Genomic DNA, 14280 nt, shown 5'->3' on the forward strand with positions numbered 1-14280 from the left:
CGTGTTAGCCAGGATGGTCTCGATCTCCTGACCTTGTGATCCGCCTGCCTTGGCCTCCCAAAGTGCTGGGATTACAGGCGTGAGCCACCGCGCCCGGCCTGGCACCATGTCACTCTTAATGTGTGTTATGGGAAAGTGTCAGTGCGTGGGTTGTGATTGCAATTATACTGAAGTCTTTTCTCCATACATGTCTCCTGCAGTGCTTAAACAGCCTTCCCAGCCCACAGCAGCAGGGGTACAGCAGCTCTCACATTCAGTCACTAGCAGAGATGCCAGGTACTATTCTGAGCTTTTAAAATGTACTAATGCTCTTAGTTCTCAAAACTATCCTAGGAGCTATAGGTACTGTTATTAACTCTCATTTTGCATATGAGGAAATTGAGGCCCACAGATATCAATAAACTTACCCAAGGCTACACAGCCAGTAAATGACAGAGCAAGAATTCAAACCCAGGCAGCCTAGCTCTGCTGTCTCTGGAAGAGCCGAATTAGCAGGGATGCCCTCCTACAGATCCTGAGTCCTTCAGATAAAACAGTATCTGGGTCAAGGGAAGCTGGGGATCGTGACGTCAGCACCTATGCTTGGTTGGTAAATCCCTCTTTCTAGGGTCACAACCACAACACATACGCGTTTATGCTTAGGCCTAAGATGTGTCCCTGAAATCACTGTCAACTGAACCATGTTTTAAATGTTGTGGGGGCTGTTGCTACTGAAAAGAACCCTGCTGTGAACGCTTGTACAAAGCAAAGAATCTATTTTTATAAATTTAGATCTGGAGATTTTAAAAAATGCAAATATGATACATACAATTCAGTATTTATGCAGTCAGAAGAGACAAAGGAATAAGTATCTTCCCATACAAGGAAAAAAATTAACATTTAATTCAGTACCTTCTGTGGACCCTGGGGAGATGCTGGGGTCTTCCACAGCCTTATCTCATTTAGTCTTTACAGTGCCCTTCTGGGGGCAGGGGGAGGCATGGATCCTAACAAACTAGAGGACCCAGGCTCAGGTGAGGCAGAACGCTTAGCAGGAGGTAATGACTTTCAGTTTGCCGCCTCCAAAGCCCATGTTTTCTCCAGTGTGCAACATGAGCTTTAAAATCTAGGTGTTTATAATCTGGTGGAACCCCTGGAGGATGGCTTGGGCTGTTCTGTCCTACAGACCTGTGGCTCTCAGCATCCATTCTACGCCTCACATGGGCAGCCCTGCTGAAGAAAATCACCAAACTGTGTGTTGATGCCACCATCCATTGGTGGTCCACTCACTCAGGAGCCTTTGGTTTGTCAGTCCTTCCCCCTGCCTTTCTGGCCTTTGTCCCTCAGTGGCTACTCCATTCTTTAAAAAATCTACCCAGTCTCTGCCTCCTGCTTCATACTTACGGATCTCTTTTCTCAGTAAACTCACCCAACTTGCACCCTCCCACTGCAGAACCTCATCAGTGTGGGGACCCATTTCCTCCAGGCTCACAGTGGGATCGTCCCTTCTGCTTTCTTGGGACCTGCTTGCATCAGTTATCACTGCTGCACCTTCAGCCTTCCCCTGAGTTCCTTTCCCTCAGCAGGTCAAGCTCTCATTTCATCAGAAGAAAATCTCCCGTGACCTTGAACTTCCTCCACTTATCCTCAACCTCTCTCCCTCACATCTCAGCCAAGGATCTCAAAACCACAAGCTGCATGCACCCTGTCTCCCTTTCTTCCTCTCATTCTCTCCCTCACTTAGGGTACTTGCTTTTTCTGTGGCCTCTGAAACTTCTCTCCTCAGGGAAGGCCTCTTAATTACCAAATTTTGCATTTACCTTCATTGTATCTGAACTATGTGCAAAATTTGGCACTGTAAGGCTATGACTCGCCTGGTTTTTCCCTCCCTGGGCTTTTCTCTTCATCTACTTTCCTCTGGTCATGCCTAAATAGTGCTCATCCTGCTCTCCCACCCAGCTATCTTCCATCCCAACTGTTGACCACTGCCTCTGGGCTCAAGACTCTCAAATTGGTATGACCAGCCAAGGCCTCTGCTGAGTGCCAGCTGGGAGATTCATTTGCTCACTAGGCAGCTCCTCGTGGAGGTCCCATTGGTACCTCAGTTTCCTCTCTCCTGACTAAAGAGACTTTTAGTCTGTTTCATGATTAATCCAATTTATCACATCTGAAATCTTGGATTCATTCAAGAGGCCTCTCATTTTTTTTTTTTTTTTTTTTTTTTGAGACAGAGTCTCCCTCTGTTGCCCAGACTGGAGTGCAGTGGCGTGATCTCGGCTCACTGCAACCTCCCTGCCTCCCAAGTTCAAGTGATTCTCTTGCCTCAGCCTCTGAGTAGTTGGGATTACAGGCGCCCACCACCATGCCCAGCTAATTTTTGTATTTTTAGTAGAGACGGGGTTTCACCATGTTGGCCAAGCTGGTCTCAATCTCCTGACCTCGTGATCTGCCCGCCTCGGCCCCCCAAAGTGCTGGGATTACAGGCATGAGCCACCGCGCCCGGCCAAGAGGCCTCTCCCACATCCAGGCGCTCACAAAGGCCTATCACTTAGGCCTGATGAACACTTCTGATTCCTGGTGACGCCTCTATCTCCACTGTCTTTACTTGTTATTGGGCTCTTAAGGTCTTCCTGTCTCTAGTTTGATCTAAGCCACACCTTTGAAAGAACGATCTTTCTGAAGTACAAAATTACCAATATATTTCACCAGTGCTTAAAACTCTTTATTGGCTTCCTGTCTTCTACAGATGAAAATCTGTTTCTAGCCAGGCAAGGTGGTGTGTGCCTTTAGTCCCAGTTACTCGAGAGGATGAGGCCGGGAGTTCAAAGCTGCAGTGAGCTACAATCACGCCACTGCACTCCAGCCTAGGTGACAGGCGAGACCTCATCTTTAAAAAGTAAAAATTTACATAGGAAGTTGTTTTATGCCTTTGCATAAGGTTTGTGTTAACTTTCAGCAAGAAATTCCCTTTCTCTCCCTTGTCTGGCATATCACTCTTCATCCTTCAAAACCCAGCTCTGGGGCAGGAGTGGTGACTTATGCCTGTAATACCGTCACTTTGGGGAGCTGGGGCGGGAGGACAGCTTGAGACTAGCCTGGGCAACACGGTGAGACCCCTGTCTCTACAAGTAAAAAAAATTAGCCGGTGTGGTGGCATGCGCCTGTGGTTCCTGGTACTCTGGAAGCTGAAGCTGAGGCAGTAGGATCGCTTGAGCCCAGGAGGTCGAGGCTGCAGTGAGCCAGGACTGAGCCACTGCACTCCAGCCTGGGCAACAGAGCAAGACCTTGTCTCAAAAAAACAAAAGGTCAGCTCAGGTATCTCCTCATGGAAACCCTTCTTCACATCCAGAGGTGGTCGGCTTCCTTCTCTATTCTAACCCTGGGCTTTGTACACAGGTCTGCATCCCCTCCTAGCATCTGTGAGCTTCTCTCAGGGAAAAGCTCATTGATCTGCATCCCCAAGACCTGCTGGGGAAGAATCTATCCATCTAAACTCGCTTTAATTTGACAAATGAATCAGTTAAGAGTAGGAAAGCTGCCTATGGGCACTGCTCAATGCAACGTGAGCAACAAAGGGAGACAGAACTGAGGCCAGAAAGGTGAGGGGGGACAGAGGCTGGCAGGGAGGGGAGCTTGTCAGTGCAGACTCCAGGAAGAATCTATACAGAAAGTTACTGAGCGGCCTGAGTCCCCCAAGTGAGGGCTCGGGACAATCTCCCGCCTGGGTGAGAGAATAGGGAGACCCTGAAACGTCTCTGCAGCCTCGGGCTGCTCCAGAAGCGCCCACAGCTGCAGGGTTTTGGTGTGGATGGGACCTGCTGACAGGGATGCGGTGGGAAGAGCCCCTCGGCGCCCGTTCTCCCAGGCTTCCCCTTGGCCAAGGGTGCTCCTAGCACAGGGCCATGAAAGTAAGATGAAGAGGCTTGTTTTTCTCCTAGATACCAGCGGGCAAGCAGAAAACAAGAGGCTCAAGAGGGGCAGCCCCCGCATAGAGGAGATGCGAGCTCTGCGCTCTGCCAGGGCCCCGAGCCCGTCAGAGGCCGCCCCGCGCCGCCCGGAAGCCACCGCGGCCCCCCTCACTCCTAGAGGAAGGGAGCACCGCGAGGCTCACGGCAGGGCCCTGGCGCCGGGCAGGGCGAGCCTCGGAAGCCGCCTGGAGGTAACTGGGCGAGGGCCGCGCAGGGAAGGGCTCAGCAGGAGGTGCAGGCCACGGGCCGCTGCTGAGAGGTCCTCACCCCGGGCCCCCTTGTTCCCGCAGGACGTGCTGTGGCTGCAGGAGGTCTCCAACCTGTCAGAGTGGCTGAGTCCCAGCCCTGGGCCCTGAGCCGGGTCCCCTTCCGCAAGCGCCCACCGATCCGGAGGCTGCGGGCAGCCGTTATCCCGTGGTTTAATAAAGCTGCCGCGCGCTCACCAAGTCCTCTTCCGCGTCTGCTTCCGCGTCGGGCCCGGGCGGGGCGGGGCGGGGCGTGGAGCCGCGCCGCGGCCTGACGTCACCCACACCTCCCTGGGACTGCGTCACTGGTGCGCGCCGCGGGTCAGGGCGCAATGGCGGCGCTGGGCGGGGATGGGCTGCGACTGCTGTCGGTGTCGCGGCCGGAGCGGCCGCCCGAGTCGGCGGCGCTGGGCGGCCTGGGCCCCGGGCTGTGCTGCTGGGTGTCAGTGTTCTCCTGCCTCAGCCTCGCCTGCTCCTACGTGGGCAGCCTCTACGTCTGGAAGAGCGAACTGCCCAGGTGCGGGGGCTGCGCGCGACCGGAATCCGCGCCCTGCGGGCGGAGCTTGGGCGAGCCGGGGGCGGGTCCGTGCTCATGGGCAGCCGCGGGCCCCCTGAACTTACTGTCCCCTCCGTAGGGACCATCCCGCGGTCATCAAGCGACGCTTCACCAGCGTCCTGGTGGTGTCCAGTCTCTCACCCCTGTGCGTGCTGCTCTGGAGGGAACTCACAGGCATCCAGGTGCGAAGGAGGCGGGGCAAAGGGCAACGGCGGTGAGAGCTCAGGGGTCTTTAGGGGAGGAAGCAAAACTGATGCCCCCTTTCCTGTGGCTCAGCCAGGCACATCCCTGCTCACCCTGATGGGCTTCAGGCTGGAGGGCATTTTCCCAGCGGCGCTGCTGCCCCTGTTGCTGACCATGGTGAGTGCTCCTGCTGTATTTTTTCTTCTGGTCTTTGTTATCAGCCTGATGGGCAGTGCCGTGGACTCTTGTTTTTGGTTTTTGGTTGATGGGAGACAGGACTTTTGAGATGGCCCCAGGGTCCTCCGGTATGCATGGTCTGGAAATCGTGGCTGGAGAGGATTTCAAGCTTGGAGTCTCAGGGAGCATGGGCAAAGGTCTGGGCAAAAGCGGTGGGTTATGGTGAAAGTGTTTTCTTGCCCTCAGATTCTTTTCCTGGGCCCACTGATGCAGCTCTCTATGGATTGCCCTTGTGACCTGGCAGATGGGCTGAAGGTTGTCCTGGGTGAGTCTTAAAGGCTGAAGGGAAAAGTAGGCACAGGCAGTCCAGGACATTGGGGCAGGGAGTCAGCGGGCTCAGGGTGTGATCTGGACACGTGAAATGTCATCTCTCTGGGTGTGTTTTCTCATCAGTAAAATGGAAACATAGAGCTAGGTGGCCTCTAAGGGTTGATTGCCAACGTCCAAGGAGTTCCCTGGGAACCCCCAGCAGTATTTGGTGTGGATCAGAGAGCACTGTCCCCTGCTTCCCCAACCAGAGCTAGTCTTGCTTAAATTTTGGTGTCTCCAGAGTTTACTTCCAGGATGCCCTTGCCTCAGCTAATGCCTTCCATTCAGGTCATCTCAAGACATTGGGTTTATGTTGGGTCCACACCCCCGTCCTCAGCAGTATTGATGCCTAACCTGAGTTTGGCCAGGGTAAAGTTGTGGGAGAGGAGCCCTTGGAGCCTCTGGGGTCTCACTGTCTGACAGCCCGTCACTCACAGCTTGTCCTGAATTCCCTCTGCAGCCCCCCGCTCCTGGGCCCGCTGCCTCACAGACATGCGTTGGCTGCGGAACCAAGTGATCGCCCCGCTGACAGAGGAGCTGGTGTTCCGGGCCTGTATGCTGCCCATGTTAGCACCGTGCATGGGCCTGGGCCCTGCTGTGTTCACCTGCCCGCTCTTTTTTGGAGTTGGTGAGTCTGGCCAGATTAGTCCTGGTGTGTTTTCAGCATGAGAGCTCAGAAGGGGGCTTGAGGTGAGGGGCAGTCCTAGAAGGGAGGCTGGGAGGAATGACTGTGATGTGATTGTCACCTTTTTCCCAGCCCATTTTCACCATATTATTGAGCAGCTGCGTTTCCGCCAGAGCAGCGTGGGGAACATCTTCTTGTCTGCTGGTGAGTCCTGGCTAGCTGGCCTGGGTTAGGGTGTATGATGATGTCGCTAATGGCCACTCTGGAGAAGGAATTGGGAACTGAGGGCCACAGTATTGGAGAGGCCACTGACCGTGGGAAGTTGGGGTGCAGGACAGCTGTAGGTGGTGGGGCAGGCAGCTACTGCCCCGGGGGGAGGGGATGGTCGGTCTTTGGCTGATGGGTATGTAGTGTGGGGGCAGGAAGGGCGTGCAGGTGTGGTCACTCGTGGCCTCCCCGTCTCCAGCGTTCCAGTTCTCCTACACAGCTGTCTTCGGTGCCTACACTGCTTTCCTCTTCATCCGCACAGGTTGGTCCTCAGTCCCTCATGGGTCCCTGGGGGCCCACAGGAGCGGGTGGGAGAATGGGAATACTGTTTGTTCTAGGAACAAAAGTTCTTCTACTCCAGTCCTTGAGACAGGCTGAGCCAGAGCCCTCAGCCTGGTGAGGTCTGAGAGGTGGAAAGGAGCAGAGGCCGTGGTGTGTGGGTGGATGGCTGGGGTAGTGGGATCTTGATCTCCTGTTTCAGGGGATGAGGGTCACTAGCCCTGGAAGGGCCAGAGGAGGTGGTAGGGCTGCTCCCTGAGCTGCTGTCTCTTTTCCCCAGGACACCTGATTGGGCCGGTTCTCTGCCATTCCTTCTGCAATTACATGGGTTTCCCAGCTGTTTGCGCGGCCTTGGAGCACCCACAGAGGCGGCCCCTGCTGGCAGGCTATGCCCTGGGTGTGGGACTCTTCCTGCTTCTGCTCCAGCCCCTCACGGACCCCAAGCTCTACGGCAGCCTTCCCCTTTGTGTGCTTTTGGAGCGGGCAGGGGACTCAGAGGCTCCCCTGTGCTCCTGACCTATGCTCCTGGATACGCTATGAACTCTCACCGGCTCCCCAGCCCTCCCCACCAAGGGGTACTGCAGGGGAAGGGCTGGCTGGGGTCCCCGAGATCTCAGGAATTTTTGTAGGGGATTGAAGCCAGAGCTAGTTGCGTCCCAGGGACCAAGAGAAAGAAGCAGATATCCAAAGGGTGCAGCCCCTTTTGAAAGGGGTGTTTACGAGCAGCTGTGAGTGAGGGGACAAGGGGCAGGTCCCAGGAGCCACACACTCCCTTCCTCACTTTGGACTGCTGCTTCTCTTAGCTCCTCTGCCTCTGAAAAGCTGCTCGGGGTTTTTTATTTATAAAACCTCTCCCCACCCCCCACCCCCCAACTTCCTGGGTTTTCTCATTGTCTTTTTGCATCAGTACTTTGTATTGGGATATTAAAGAGATTTAACTTGGGTAACATGGCCTTGGGCCTTTGGGAATCGGTCTATTTGGGATCTTGTGTGAAGACTCTAGGCAGCTCTTGGGAGTGTGCCCACCACCTGTCCCAGCTACCTTGAACACTGACATCTGGGCGGTGCATCCAGGCGGGTAGTTCCCTGGAGTACAGGATGGGCTGGGAGCTCTGGTTGCTGGGAGCCTGTGGCTTCCTCCTTCCTGAACCATGCCCCAAAGTCCTAGTGTGGTTGGCTCTGAGACTGCAGGTACCAGGTGTGAGCCCAGCTCATCCTGGGGCCTGTGCCTTGGCTGACGGGTCAGGGAGTGGGAACCATGGCCCTGGCCCTGACCTCAGCGATGGAGCCTCCGACGTATCTCCTCTGAGGGGAAGATGACTGGCCTGAAGCCTCTGCCAGGACCTCCACAGTCTGCCAGTCTTGTTTTTCACAAGAGGAAATAGGTCCCTGAGTCACCATAAGTAGAGGCTTTTCTGGTTCTCTCCACCTCTGACCTCTGCCCCAGAGGAACCCAGAACACAGGCTGCAGCCCTGAGGGCAGCAGGGACTTTGCCAAGCAACACAGTGACTCCAGGGTCCTTCTCGGCACCTGCAAGTGTTCTGCCTGCTCTCCATCATTTTTGGAAGGGCTCTCGTTTCCCTGCCTGTGCTCTTTTAAAATTAGATTCCTGAAAGAGTATTAGCCCTGGATTACTTGAGGTCAGGAGTCCGAGACCAGCCTGACCAACATGGTGAAACCCGTCTCTACTAAAAATACAAAAAATTAGCCGGGCATAGGCGGGGCGTGGTGGCAGGAGGCTAAGGCAGGACAATCACTTGAACCTGGGAGGCACAGATTCCAGTGAGCCAAAATCACACTACTGTACTCCAGCCTGGGTGACAGAGCGAGACTCCATCTCCGGGGTGGGGGGCAGGGGGGGCGGGGGAGGGAAGAAAGCCCTTTAGGTCCCATTCCCCAATCAAGGAGGTTGTCCCAAGGTCCCTTCTCTGAGGCTGGCCACTGAGGGAAAAAGGATGTGCGGTCACTCCCCCACGATGCCTGCAGGCTGGCCATGACAACGACATCCACCCGGATGGAAGGGGCAGCATCGCAGTCATCTGCCTCCTGGGGTACATCTAGGACATGGCGGTCCAGAAAGGAAGAGGCTCAAGCCCACTGTGAGTTGCCCATCCCAGAGGTTGGACTGGCTCTGGGAGCACTGGGCAGAGGCCTGCTGGGTGCTTCCCATCCAGAGGCTGATTTCCTGCATCGGCCTCCCCACACCCACCCCTCCATCTCAGGAACTGCCCAGCCTCCTGCTCCCTTCACCATCCTCTCCCTACCTGTGGGCAGGTGGGCAGGAGGGCAGTGGTGCAGGCAGGGTTACTGTCCCCACTGCAGGAAAGGGAACTGAGCAGGAGTCTGGAGGGGTGGTCATGGGGAGTGGCAGGGTTAGAACCTGAGACCCTGGACCCGGTGCTCCCCCTCACCTCCCACCAACATTCTCACATCCAGAGCACACACAAGACTCCCGGATCACCATTCCCGAGGGTCTTACCCACTGCCCACAAGGTGGTACCTGCTTGCATTTACCTGCTAACTGAGGTGGGACGCTGGCCTTGGGTTTTAGAAAATAAAGCAGCGGGGTTGGGAGGCGAGTCTGCCAACGGCCTGGGTTTCATCTCTCTCTCTTACTACTTGTGAAGTCCTGGACAAATTATTTAATCTTCCTGTGACTTGATTTCTGTGTCCATAAGAGGATGAAGGTTAATTCCCTGTGTTAATAGGTGTTAAATACTTAGAACAGGCCCCACCCCTCAAGCAAGTTCAGTACTACTAGTCCTGTTTGGGGAGTATACACAGTAGGCACCCAATAGTGACTTAAAACAGGGCCACGATGGTCATTCTCACTACCCTCTGAGGAGAACGACACAACTGACCTGCCCACCCATGGGGAGCTTGAAAGGCAGCCCCCCACTGCTGAGTGGTGCAGGCTGGGGGCTGCACAGGATCCAGCATGGAGGGCAGGGGAAAGCCAGCTTTATTGAGTAAACTTCCCAGGACCTGGGACATCTTAGATCTCCCCTTCCCCCAGGAGATAGGACCCCTAAACCTCCCCTGGGTCCTAGGACCACCTGACCCACCACTTGTAGTCTCCAGTGAGGAGGGGACCCTTATTTGGCAAGAGATGAACATGTAAGCAGCTGTCCGCCGGAGGAAAGGACGATGGCTGAAAGGAATGAACCACCGCAGGCGGTGTCTCTCCTGTCCAGCTGTGGACAGGACCTCCACGGCCCGGCCTTCCTGGCCTCGGGCACTGGCTGGCCTGGGCCTGCCGTGGCAGCACAGCTTCTGTTGAAGGCTTGGGGATGGCCAGGCTGCCGGTCTGGGGCAAGATCACTCGATCTCCAGGATGAGGTCGTCACCTTCCAGTGTCATGTCCTTGGTCACATGAACCTTGCGGACAGTACCCTCCATGGGTGAGGTCACCACAGTCTCCATCTTCATGGCACTGAGCACACACAGGGGCTGGCCCTTGGCCACCTTGGCCCCTGCCACCACTTTGATGTCTATCACCTTCCCAGGCATGGGCGCCCCGATCTGGCCCTTCACGTCCTTTAGGGCCTTGGGGTGGAAGTGCATCTCCTGAAGACACAGGGCAGAGGGGACATGACATCCTGGGCCCAGCCAAGCCCCACCGCCTGGCTGGCCCTGGGGGAGACAATACCTTCATGGCCTGGGTGTCCTTGACCAAGATGGACCGCAGCTGCCCATTGAGCTCAAAGAAGACCTGCCTCTGGCCGGCCCGGTTCAGGTCGCTCACGGCCAGGGCTTTGATGTGCAGCGTCTTGCCCCGCTCCAGCTCCACCTGCAGGGAGGGTGTGCAGACTCAGAGCTGGACGCCAAGGTGGGAGAGCAGTCCCCCGGCCCTGGCCATAGGAAGTCCCCACACTGGGCCTTGGCTCCTCGTTCCTAAAGGCCTAGCTCCCGGTCTCAAGGGTCCTTTCTGCTCCCAAAGCTTGCGAGGCTGGGTGACAGCCAAGCTAAACTCCAGAGCTCTGGGGCAGGGGGCCAGGGTGGAGTGTGGAGAAGCGCCAGAGCCACTGACCTCAAACTCCTCTGCGATCTTGGGTCCCTGCAGGAAGAGGCGAGTATTCAGGCTATCCAGGGGGCCAAAGGTGGCAGTGAAGTCCTTGAAGTGGGCAAACACATCGGGGTACATAGCTGCTGAGAGCACATCTTCCGGCGTCACCTCCTCCCCATGCCGGTCTACCAGCTCCTTCTCCAGTGCCTGCAGATCCAGGGGAGGGAGGGAGGCTCCAGGCCGCCCCTCCACCCTTGGCAGGTCCTTCAGTACCTGGGGAGCAAAGCAGAGGATCAGTCCCAAGTCCTGCATCCAGCCCCCACCCTCACACCATGCTGGGCCTTCCCTACCTTAGAGCGAAAGGGTTCGGGGAACCCCCCATGGGGGACACCGATGTAGCCCTGCAGGAACTCCACCACGGAGCGGGGAAAGGACAGCTCTTCCGCCTGAGCTTCGGCCTCTGCCCGGCTCAATCCATTCTGCACCATAAACTGGGCCAGGTCCCCCACGATCTTGGAGGAGGGCGTCACCTGAGGAGAAGGCCCTGGAGGTTAGGGTGCCAGGCACCTCAAGGAGGCCAGTGGCAGGTGCATGCAGGGCTGGGTCAGGTAAGGAGCACCGGGCCGGGCTCACCTTGATGAGATCGCCCAGCATCTGGTTGGCCTCCACATAGGCCTTCTTGACCTCCTTGAACTTGGAGCCAAGCCCCATGCTGTGGGCCTGGAAGTGCAGGTTGGTGTACTGGCCCCCTGGGATCTCATTTTCATACACGTCCGAGTTGCCAGACTTCATGGTGGCCGTGCAGTCGAAGGCCGCGTACAGTCCCCGAGCCCCCTCCCAGTACTCACTGTAGTCAAACACGCGCTCCATGGGCACCTCTGCAGGGAGGCCAGAGTCAGAGGAGGCCTTAGAAATGTGTGACTCTTCCAGGACCCAGGGCTAGCTCAGGTCCCATGTCTGACTCAGGTGACAGAAGGCGGCAAGGCCAGAGCAGGGCATCTGGATCCTAGGCAGGTCCAACACTACTGGGACTGGTGGTGGCTGCGGCTTTGAGAGGGGTGTGGCCACGGGCTGCTGTTCTTCCTACCTGTGTCCAGGGGAGTCCCTCTGGTACAGGCCACCAGGGCCCCCATGCTGGGCTGTGAAGTCATCCCAGACATGGAATCAGCTGCCACATCCACCACATCAGCTCCAGCCTGGGCACAGGCCAGCATGGCTGCCACGCCTGCCCCTGACGTGTCGTGGGTGTGGATGTGCAGTGGGAGGTCGGGGAAGCGGTCCCGGAGGGAGCTGACCAGCATGGTGCAGGCCGTGGGCTTCAGCAGCCCGGCCATGTCCTGGGGGAAGTGGGAGAGAGAGAGAGAGAGATGGTAGAGAGGGCAGGATGTGTGCCTGTGGGTGGCGGGGACATGGCCGGGGCAGAGAGGGAGGGACGGACAAGTGGCCCAGGCACCTTGATGCACAGGATGTGGGTGCCAGCTCGCACCAGCTCTTCGGCCAAGCCCATGTAGTACTGCAGTGAGTACTTGGTGCGGCTGGGGTCGGCCACGTCGCCCGTGTATGAGATGGCAGCCTCCACCACGCCTCCGGCACTTCCTGCCGCCTCCATGCCCAGCAGCATGTTGGGCAAGTAGTTGAGGGAGTCAAACACACGGAAGACATCCATGCCATTCTCTTTGGCCACTTCACAGAACCTGCAAGGGTGAGAGAGCCCAGGGCTGAGCCCCACCCCACCTCCCTCTGAACAGTCTTCCCTGGCTCCTTCCTGACCCACTCTATGGCCCCTGGGGAATGAGATCTGAGGGTCTCGCCTGGCAGGGGGTGTGGCATCCACAGGCGGGGGGTGGCCACACAAGTGTGGACCAGGCCCTGGAGGATCAGCTAGGCCAGTGGCAGGCTGTGGAAGAGGGTACTGAGCAAGGAGTCTTGAGGCCTGGGTTCCAATCCCAGCCCTGCACCGAGTGACCCAGGCAAGTCTCAGACCTTCCACTGCCCCAGGAGTGAGGGAGTGATTTAGAAGCCTGTCTGGTTCTGCAACTCCAATTTTACACTTCTCGATATTTCCAAACAGCAGCCCCTGCTGCGTGTGGCCACAGAGAGACTTGGTGTCAGGCTGACCGTGGAGAACAGAGGCCATCACGACATGGCTCGGTACCCTCTGGGCCACACCAGGTAGCGTCTGCCCACCCCACCCCAGGCTCACTTGAAGACCACGTTGTCTGGGTAGTTGGTGTAGCCCACAGCATTGGCCCCCCGCAGCAGCATCTGGAAAGGGATGTTGGGGATGAGCTCCCGGAGCTCCTGCAGCCGCCGCCAGGGGCACTCATACAGGAAGCGCATGGCGACGTCAAACGTGGCTCCTGCACAGGAACCGAGAGGCCCAGATCAGCTCTGCATGCCTGGGGAACTCCACCAGGCCTTGGAGCTAGCTCTGCAGCACAAGCCTCTGGCCCCAATACCAGGTCCTGCTCATCTTCGCCATACCTGTGTTCCCTGCTCCAACCCCCACAGATTTTTCCCTTGTCTGATCTCTAAGGGGGAGACCAGGCTCATTTGTGTCCCTTCTATGCCCCCTTTATAATCCCATCTTCTCCTCTACCTCTCTGTGCTATAATTAACAGGCAGGTGTCTCCTCCTGACCCTGGACCTCCCAGGATGCACCTGGTCTCAGCTCTGCAACCTCGTGCCGGCACCAGGCCTGGCCGGAGAGGGCGCTGTGCCTTCTTCGGTCCTTCCTCTTTGGTGTTCTTCGTGTCAGCGTCTCTAGCTTGTCCCCAGTGGCCTAAGCCTGTGGGACTGGCCACAGAGCGGGCGCCCATTCCTACCAGGCGCTGCGCAGCATGCCAGCCTACCTCCCCAGTTCTCCATGCTGAAGAGCTTGCTGAAGTTGTGGGCAACATAGGGGGCGATCTTTTTGAGATCGTGGGTGCGCACACGAGTGGCCAGCAGTGACTGGTGGGCGTCCCTGAAGGTCGTGTCCATCAGCAGCAGCCCCGGGTGGTTCCGCACAGCTCGAGCAAAGCCCTCAGGCCCCTCTCGCAGCAGGATGTCTCTGAAACCAGCCGGGGGCGGGCCTAGGGTAGACAGGGGCATTGGTGCCCATCCTGCAGGTGGCAACCTCCTGTCTCCCCCATGAGTTGACAGAATGGATCTCACCTACCTATGGGCACTGCAGGGACAACGGGGTCCGTGGGGCTGGGGCTGGCCTTGACGGGAATCGGGGTGGTTGGACCGTTTACCATGACATGGCCTGGGGAGAAAGCGGGCAGTGGGTCAGGGTGGGCTGGGCAGAGGCTGAGTCGAGGGCAGCAGTGAGAGTGGCTGGGCTCAGGGACAGGGACACATCCCTCCAGGATCCCCGGGCTTCCAGCTGGCCCCTGTCCTCTCCAAAGCCAGGGCCTCCTGGGTACAGGCAGTGGGGACGTCTTGAGGACCACGTGGATGGAAAGGTGGGGTCTCTCAGATCAGAAGCAAGGAGAGCAGTGAATGGCAGGGTGCAGGACAAGAGGACGCAGGGCCAGAATGAGGGCAGGGGTGAGGGGCAGGGGGCACTAAGGAGTTCTTTGGTCATGGGGAGTGGCAAGGAGGTAGGAGCAAGAGATTGGAGAGCGGAGGGGAGGGGAGG

General features: G+C 57.2%; 3 protein-coding genes across 19 annotated transcripts in view, besides 7 other annotated features; 2 read left to right on the forward strand and 1 right to left on the reverse strand.

Annotated features, from left to right (window-relative positions):
- The window catches only part of TOP6BL (TOP6B like initiator of meiotic double strand breaks), a 98748-nt gene extending 94163 nt beyond the window's left edge, over positions 1 to 4585 (forward strand). For both annotated transcript variants that reach the window (NM_024650.4, NM_001302084.2), the window contains 2 exons: positions 3918 to 4138; positions 4238 to 4585. In NM_024650.4, the coding sequence (NP_078926.4) occupies positions 3918 to 4138; positions 4238 to 4303 (287 nt within the window). In that variant the 3' untranslated portion in view covers positions 4304 to 4585. The remainder of the gene's footprint in view (positions 1 to 3917; positions 4139 to 4237) is intronic.
- Positions 2707 to 2833: a silencer, noted in NCBI's record as "fragment chr11:66609109-66609235 (GRCh37/hg19 assembly coordinates)". NCBI's record gives its function as "represses an EF-1alpha promoter that drives an FKBP-Casp9 reporter gene in an ReSE screen in K562 erythroleukemia cells {active_cell/tissue: K562}" and the evidence as "EXISTENCE:reporter gene assay evidence [ECO:0000049][PMID:32094911]".
- Positions 4051 to 4190: a silencer, noted in NCBI's record as "silent region_3603". NCBI's record gives its function as "represses an Ori minimal core promoter by ATAC-STARR-seq in GM12878 lymphoblastoid cells {active_cell/tissue: GM12878}" and the evidence as "EXISTENCE:reporter gene assay evidence [ECO:0000049][PMID:35858748]".
- Positions 4301 to 4740: a silencer, noted in NCBI's record as "silent region_3604". NCBI's record gives its function as "represses an Ori minimal core promoter by ATAC-STARR-seq in GM12878 lymphoblastoid cells {active_cell/tissue: GM12878}" and the evidence as "EXISTENCE:reporter gene assay evidence [ECO:0000049][PMID:35858748]".
- Positions 4301 to 5087: a biological region, named in NCBI's record as "NANOG-H3K27ac-H3K4me1 hESC enhancer GRCh37_chr11:66610783-66611489".
- Positions 4381 to 5087: an enhancer, noted in NCBI's record as "NANOG-H3K27ac-H3K4me1 hESC enhancer chr11:66610783-66611489 (GRCh37/hg19 assembly coordinates)". NCBI's record gives its function as "activates a minimal SCP1, AML or CMV promoter by ChIP-STARR-seq in naive and primed H9 embryonic stem cells {active_cell/tissue: H9 hESC(naive and primed)}" and the evidence as "EXISTENCE:reporter gene assay evidence [ECO:0000049][PMID:30033119]".
- RCE1 (Ras converting CAAX endopeptidase 1) lies at positions 4510 to 7621 on the forward strand. Of its 2 annotated transcripts, none has more exons than NM_005133.3 (8): positions 4510 to 4709; positions 4828 to 4930; positions 5025 to 5108; positions 5355 to 5433; positions 5938 to 6105; positions 6235 to 6306; positions 6569 to 6631; positions 6929 to 7621. In NM_005133.3, exons 1-8 carry the CDS (start codon positions 4525 to 4527, stop codon positions 7162 to 7164), a joined length of 990 nt encoding a protein of 329 aa, NP_005124.1. In that variant the 5' UTR covers positions 4510 to 4524; the 3' UTR covers positions 7165 to 7621. The 2 variants fall into 2 exon arrangements, with proteins under 2 accessions (NP_005124.1, NP_001027450.1); NM_001032279.2 differs by having other exon boundaries at positions 5029 to 5108.
- PC (pyruvate carboxylase) overlaps positions 9489 to 14280 on the reverse strand; it is a 109964-nt gene continuing 105172 nt past the window's right edge. For all 15 annotated transcript variants that reach the window (NM_001439353.1, NM_000920.4, NM_001040716.2 and 12 more), the window contains 10 exons: positions 13816 to 13905; positions 13508 to 13729; positions 12859 to 13015; positions 12109 to 12349; positions 11743 to 11992; positions 11289 to 11533; positions 11006 to 11185; positions 10680 to 10928; positions 10299 to 10439; positions 9489 to 10216 (listed from right to left, as the gene is read on the reverse strand). In NM_001439353.1, coding sequence (NP_001426282.1) covers positions 9968 to 10216; positions 10299 to 10439; positions 10680 to 10928; positions 11006 to 11185; positions 11289 to 11533; positions 11743 to 11992; positions 12109 to 12349; positions 12859 to 13015; positions 13508 to 13729; positions 13816 to 13905 — 2024 coding nt within the window. In that variant the 3' untranslated portion in view covers positions 9489 to 9967. The remainder of the gene's footprint in view (positions 10217 to 10298; positions 10440 to 10679; positions 10929 to 11005; positions 11186 to 11288; positions 11534 to 11742; positions 11993 to 12108; positions 12350 to 12858; positions 13016 to 13507; positions 13730 to 13815; positions 13906 to 14280) is intronic.
- Positions 11313 to 11892: an enhancer, noted in NCBI's record as "H3K4me1 hESC enhancer chr11:66617715-66618294 (GRCh37/hg19 assembly coordinates)". NCBI's record gives its function as "activates a minimal SCP1, AML or CMV promoter by ChIP-STARR-seq in primed H9 embryonic stem cells {active_cell/tissue: H9 hESC(primed)}" and the evidence as "EXISTENCE:reporter gene assay evidence [ECO:0000049][PMID:30033119]".
- Positions 11893 to 12471: an enhancer, noted in NCBI's record as "H3K4me1 hESC enhancer chr11:66618295-66618873 (GRCh37/hg19 assembly coordinates)". NCBI's record gives its function as "activates a minimal SCP1, AML or CMV promoter by ChIP-STARR-seq in primed H9 embryonic stem cells {active_cell/tissue: H9 hESC(primed)}" and the evidence as "EXISTENCE:reporter gene assay evidence [ECO:0000049][PMID:30033119]".

Source organism: Homo sapiens, chromosome 11 (assembly GCF_000001405.40).
Source record: "Homo sapiens chromosome 11, GRCh38.p14 Primary Assembly".
In the NCBI taxonomy this organism is placed as follows: domain Eukaryota; kingdom Metazoa; phylum Chordata; class Mammalia; order Primates; family Hominidae; genus Homo; species Homo sapiens.